Source organism: Homo sapiens, chromosome 1, assembly GCF_000001405.40.
Source record: "Homo sapiens chromosome 1, GRCh38.p14 Primary Assembly".
Classification (NCBI taxonomy): domain Eukaryota; kingdom Metazoa; phylum Chordata; class Mammalia; order Primates; family Hominidae; genus Homo; species Homo sapiens.
In genome coordinates this window covers 178,466,593-178,473,068 of record NC_000001.11, presented here as the reverse complement: position 1 = coordinate 178,473,068, position 6,476 = coordinate 178,466,593, and the positions used below count along the sequence as shown (strand labels likewise).

The following is a 6,476-nucleotide window of genomic DNA, read 5'->3' as shown; positions in this document are numbered from 1 at the left end:
CACACCAATCATGGCTTTATTCAGGCTACAGGCAGGAGGTAACACGCTTTCTTTACTGAATGACTAGTCCAGTGCTTTCTCTCAAACAGTTGTATGCATGGTGCTTCCCAGACAAATGGAACGTCTCTGCCTCTTTCTGCACACTGGTCAGGTTCAGCTTCCCCTGAGCCCAGTGGATCTGTGTTTATTTTTTTCTCTCTCTCTTTTTCTTTCAGCATAGCAGGACTTTTTATTAACAATCTCTTGGGACATTAGACTGTCATGTAAAAGTGATACCATGTGTTACCTCAGACTATGCAACACAGGTATCAAGCTGCCTTATTATACTAAGTGCTTTAGGTCAAAATTGAAACATGGAAATTAGGTGGCAAAGAAAGAAGCACCAGAGGTTTCATTTCACAGAGGAGAAGAGCATGTGATCTATGGGTTCTTAGCCCCAAAAGAGGGCATATCAGTCACATTTGGAAGGAATTCACATTGTGCTCAAAATTAAAACAATACATGGTGGCAGTGTAGAGTCACCAACAAGGTGAGGTTGCAACAGCAAGAGGGGAAAAAAGCAGCCAAAAAGCTCAGACCAAGGAGTTACTTGAATATGGGGAGGGAGATGTGCCGAAAAGGGAATGCCATCAACATAACACATGAGAACAAACAGAGAACACAGGCTCCTAGACCCATTCCAGCTCAAAGTTACTCCAGGAGGGCTGCCCAATACGGAGATTGCTTTCATTTTACTTTTGAGTCTCTGAAAAAAAATGCTTTAGAAACAATATTTGGAAACCAAGCATTGGTGAATACACACACACAAAAACCAAGGGGGAAGAAAAGAGGAAAAAAAATAGGCAGTCTAACTAAAGGAAAGTAGGACTATCTAAAATTTTTTTAATAAAATCATTTTATCAAAACATTATCAGTCTCCTAAGGATTAGGTTAGAAGAGATACCCTAATCTTAGCTTCAGCAGCTCAGTAAATCATTCTAGAACCTTTCTAACATGAAGTCTATAGTTTTCAGAAAACAACGCAGGAAACAGTCTTTACCTATGCCTGTAAAATTAAAAAGAAAATAACACATAGGGAATACCTCCAAAGCCAAAAGGAGTTTTACTACCTTAGGGGTTTTTAAAATTGACCCTGAGAAAAGCATGGTAAAGTTTAGTCATGGTAAAGTTCAGAGAGGAAGTAGCAGGGCTCAGGGCTGGTGCTGCTCCTTGCTATTAAAACAGCAGCTACCCAGGGCTGTCATGTAGTGCTACACTTTGGGACACATGCTACTGGGAGCATGCAGAGTGAAGACCACGGCCCTGGGGGAAAAATCTAGGTAAAATCACATACCACCATGGCATCAAGTAATACTTCCCTTTACTCTCCTGCTTTCTGGGGGCAGGAGGGTAGGATCCGTAAGGCAGCAGTGCTGGTGGTCACAGTTTCAAAAGTATATTAAAAAAAAAGAAACAACAACAAACTAGCTCTTGCTTGTCATTATCATTTAAAAAAAAATCCTTCTTTCCCTGATGGAGAACTCATGTGGTAAGATATACAAAATCAGCACTATTAATGACCCATGCATCTGGTATAAAATGCTTTTTATTTTAGGAAAGTAATTCATTTTAAGGATAGACAAAACTAAAGGAAAGAGCTGCAAGGCTTTTAAAAAATAATTATTATTAAAAAAATTTTAACCAATGAAGTTTACTGGGATAACAAATATAGATCTTTGAAAAGCCAATAGGTAAGAACTGGCCAGTGAATACTAGAAAACAAGAGGTAAGAGCTAAGTATGATATTCCCCCCTCCCTACTCGCATTATTAGGAATGATCTCTAAACTGAGTAACTGATAATTTCTTGAACGATTAAAGAAAAGATATTTCAGAACTGGGATAAATTATAAGGCCTCATAAGGAAATTAGGATTCTCCAGGGTTCATCCAAAAATAAATAATTCATAAAAAATTTGATTTTTAAAGGGTCAAAAAGCCTAAGAATGACTGTAATTACTTACTGCCTAAAAAGGTAACAACTGAAGACAAACAGCCCCCCTACTAAACAGCTGAAAGTTTCCACATAAAGAAACTCCCTTTGTATTTCCCCCTATTGCCAACCTCTCAAAATAAAACAAAAAAGTTAAAAAAAATCAAATAGAGACTTATGAAAGTCAAGTTCAGTTGACAAAAGATGCTCGGACATTTCAATTCTGCCTGGATTGTAAGGGAAAGCAATCTAGTCCACACCTGACAGGAAGGATTCCCATGTGGGGAGTGGCAGGAGCTGGAATGTGTAGGAGGCCAGTGCACTGGGCCAGGGCTGGGAACTGCTCAGCTAGAGAACGGACGCGGGGTTTACTTGCCTGTTTGAATAATCTCATCTCCATTTATGACCTGTAATTTAACACAGCGGAGATATCACTTGCAACAGTAACTAGGCAGCTGCTTTTGCTTCTCATAGGAGGAAGCCCTTCTCTGTTCTCCACCTGAGTCACATAGAGAGATCCTGGGAGCCACAGTGTCTCCTCATGCTCAGGGGTGAAAGGTGGCACATTCTCTGGTCTGATATTTAAGAAATGGATCCTTATGATCACCACTAGGATCCCTATGGCCCCTAAGCTACAAGGTCCAGGATAGGTGCTTCTGCCACTCACCAAAGGAGTGCTCATCCTTTTGCAGTTCCTGTTAGAAAGTGGCTGATGCAGGCCTGTGCCTTGTAGCATGAAATGACTCAAAAAGAGGCAGAGGCTGAATTCAGGGACAAGATTTTCCTGGGAGCACAGGGCTGCTGAGAGACATGAAAACCAGTTTACTGGGCACCTGGCTGGTAGTGTTTTGGGAAGTGTTGACATAAGAGTCACTTCTCTGGGAAGCTTTCACCCCAAACACGTCTTCATTCTATTAAATGATGCCAGAAGGGCTGCTCTGCTCCATCATTCACTTAAGAGAGAAGATTTATCCTTACAAAAGAAAGGATCTGATACAAAAGTCATTCATTACAAAGAATGCCAAAGGATGTTTAAAGTCATTTGCTATAATAAGATTTTAATGTATCAGTAAGCCAACAGCTGGAATTAAGAAACCTTCCTTTTAAGGACACTATAATTTTTTAAAATTTAACTATAGTGTTTAGGATTTGTGCTATGCATGGTGCAGAGGTTTTCCAAATATAGTTTAGTGGATTCTCCCAACTATTCTTTAGGGATCCACAGTGGGTCTCTGGTAGAATAATTTATTATATAGTAATATTTGTGTTTGGGTAGGTAATTTATTATATTTAACCAATCCCAGTATGATTTGATTCATTAGTTGAGAGTGTGGTCCTTGCTGTTGAGTGGTCAGTGGAAGGAGCTGGATATTCATTTATGAAAGGTGCCTGGATTCTACCAAAATAGTCCAGAGAACCAAACCATTTCAAAACCACTGTCTTGAAGTATGGACTGAAAACATTAACTAGCTTAGCAGACCACCAGTCTGACAGTGACTTACGGTTTGAGGATAGCATTTCTCCCATTCCTACACATGACACCCTCCTGGTTAACTGAGAGAAAGTCCTTACTTTCCAGAGCATTTGAGTCCTAATAAATCAGATTCCCTCCCTGGCTTTTACCTCCTATGCCTAGCAGGTGACTTCTGCTTTATACCCAGTCACCTAGCCCTAATATAAAATTAGGGGGTGGGGTAGAAATCTTCAGGAGCTAATCATGAGGCTGTCCTGTCAGCCTGTGTACAGAACCACAACTGTGGCACACCCAAGCTCCCTCTGCTTAAGACTATTACATTTTTTTTCAAGACAGGGTCTCACTTTGTCGCTCAGGCTATAGTGCACTGGCGCAAATATGGCTCACCACAGCCTTGACCTCCTGGGCTCAAGCTATCCTCCCACCTCAGCCCCCCAAGCAGCTGGGACTACAGGCATGAGCCACCATGTCTGACTAATTTTTGCATTTTTTGTAGAGGTGGGTCTCACCATGTTACCCAGGCTGGTCTTGAAATCCTGAGCTCAAGCAATCCGCCTGCCTCAGCCTCCCAAAGTGCTGGGATTACAGGCATCAGCCACCTTGCCTGGCCAAGACTGATACTTTTAAACCAGCTGAAATTATTTAAAAAGTCTGTTTTATCTCTTAGTACTAACATCTCTCCTTGTGTGGTTATTAATAGAACTCTTCTTGCTTTATATTGTTATATTGAAATTTCCAAAGTGAAAACCTACTAACATTAGTTTTCCTGACTCAATTGCCTTATTTATCCAGGCTGTTTTTCTTAAGTCTCTGGGATGATTTTTTATAGTGTGAATAGTGAGATGGCCTAGTCTCCACTACCCTTACCTCACCTACCCTGGGGGCATCTAGAAAGATTTCTTTCAAAGGACCAAGTAAGATAATTACTACAGACCTTTCTTCTGATTCTCCGCATGTCTAAGTATCCAGAAACTATAGAGTTCAAGAATCCAAAATATTTTAAGGAGCAGTGCTGATTGCATCCTCACAACTCTCACCTGACTTCCAAGTCTAGTGTGTTTAAAGGAGTGTGAGGCCCATGAAGCATTCTTTCCACGACCGTGCTTTCAGCCTCACTCTCAATTTTGTTGAAAAATAAACCCATTCCACATGGACTCTGTAAGGAAACTAGACTGTTAAGTACATGTTTAAGAATACTGGGGGCTCTAAAATATGTTGATTACTAGCTGATACCTAGAGAAGGGAGGAGGCTATCTATGCATAAAATCCTTGCTCTCATTTTTTATTTCACAGCTTAGGGATATGATATGTCATTTAAGGTTGAAAAATGCAAACCTGGATCGGCTATCTTCAGGGAAGCAACACATTCAGTGGCTAGATCAGCCACTATCAAAACTATAAAAACTGTAACTGCTTTTTGTTATTTGTTTCACCCTAAGAAATACAACCATATTTTGCAATGATAAAATAAAAAGGAGTTAGAAACACTTCTTGCCTCCTGGATTTTGCTCTAATCATTGACATGTCCCTATGAGGTGCTCTTGGCAGCCTTTATGTCATTGGTGTCACAGGTGTGAGCTACAGTGAGCAGAAGCCTAGGTTCTGATTTCAACAACCTTTTCTTTTTTTAAAGTTTTATCAAAAGATGCTCTCTAAGCACAGCACCAACAAAGAAGAGCAGCCAAGCACATTCCAAGCAGCAATGCCAAACCCTAAACCAAAAGAACAACAAGGAAAGGTACCTTTTTACAACCTTGTCTTTCCCTGGCAATTCCATTACTGTCTGGGGCAAAAGGTTGATGGCAGTGGACGTGACTGACAAGACCATGAACAGCACAGCCAAGCAATGGTCAGTGGAGGTCACAAGCCAGGCACATGCAGTGCACTTTTCACAATTACGCCCTTAGAAAATGCCCTCCTTTCCATAGGGAAAGAAGCAAACCCCATCATGCACTAGGTTGAGATTTGTCAAGCAACTGCACTAAACACGCTAATACTTTGCTGAGTAAACAGACTTCTCACCAGTGAAAGAAAGGAAAATAATGGAGGTCACACAGACACTCATTTAATCTTCAAAATGTAGCGTCTAGAACTTTTCAATGACACATTTTTGGGTACCTGCCTTGGCATTTGCAAGGGTGTGAAGTCAGGAAATAATCGTTACTATAAACAAGTGCCTTCTATTAGATTCAAAGCCTGCTTACCTGTGCATCAATTATTTTCTGCTTTGCATCAATAACTGCTTGCATCTCAGCATGATCCTTCTTCAGTTCCTCTTCCACAGCCATTAGCCTAGAATGTGGCAGGAAGGAAATATCAACATCTTCAAAGAAAGGGCTAGCTAGTGTAGAGAACAGGAAAACTCAATATCCTCTGCCCTTTTTAATAAGACACCTGCAACCATCTTTTCTTTCTTCTCTACTACCTTGGAATAAGACATCTAAGGTTGATTTTTCTCCTTGTGCCTGGATCCCACACATTTTCATCTCCCTTGGAATAGTAACCCCATAATCATTTCCTCCCTCTTCTCTCTCAGATTCCTTCCTGAGCACAACTTATTTCATCTTAAAATATCAAATCAACCAACAAAAAACAAACAACCCTCTCTTAATCTCAAGTTACCCTAAACCTGGCCCACTTTCTCTTCCCTTGCACAGCTAAGTTTCCTCAATGAGTACTCTATACCTAGTATGTTTAGCTTGTTTTCTGTCCGCCATTCACATCTTAACTCATTGATGTTTAATTCTGCCAGTCTACCCAAACACCTCTCAGTAAGACTGTCAATTACCTCCACACTATTAAAACAACAAACAGTTCTGTTTACTTGACCTGTCCATAGCATTTTACAAATATTGAGGCATAGAGGTTATGAGCATGGAATCTGGAGTCCGGGATTCAAATCCTGGTGCATCACTATGTGACCTTGGGCAAGTGACTTAATGAATTTGTTGCCTGTTTATTTGTAAAATGAGAATAATAATGCGTAGGTGGAGGCTGTGATAAAGATTAAACAAACTATTATGTGTAAAGTGC

At 40.5% G+C, this 6,476-nt stretch overlaps 1 protein-coding gene across 19 annotated transcripts in view; it reads right to left on the bottom strand.

Moving 5' to 3' along the window:
• RASAL2 (RAS protein activator like 2) overlaps positions 1-6,476 on the bottom strand; it is a 384,747-nt gene that overhangs the window by 5,782 nt on the left and 372,489 nt on the right. For 10 of the 19 annotated variants that reach the window (NM_001437626.1, NM_170692.4, XM_017002850.2 and 7 more), the window contains one exon: positions 5,648-5,735. In NM_001437626.1, coding sequence (NP_001424555.1) covers positions 5,648-5,735 — 88 coding nt within the window. Of the gene's footprint in view, positions 1-2,345; positions 2,377-5,647; positions 5,736-6,476 lie in introns of all 19 variants that reach the window. The other 9 variants (NM_001437625.1, NM_001437627.1, XM_017002849.2 and 6 more) reach the window with 1 other exon arrangement.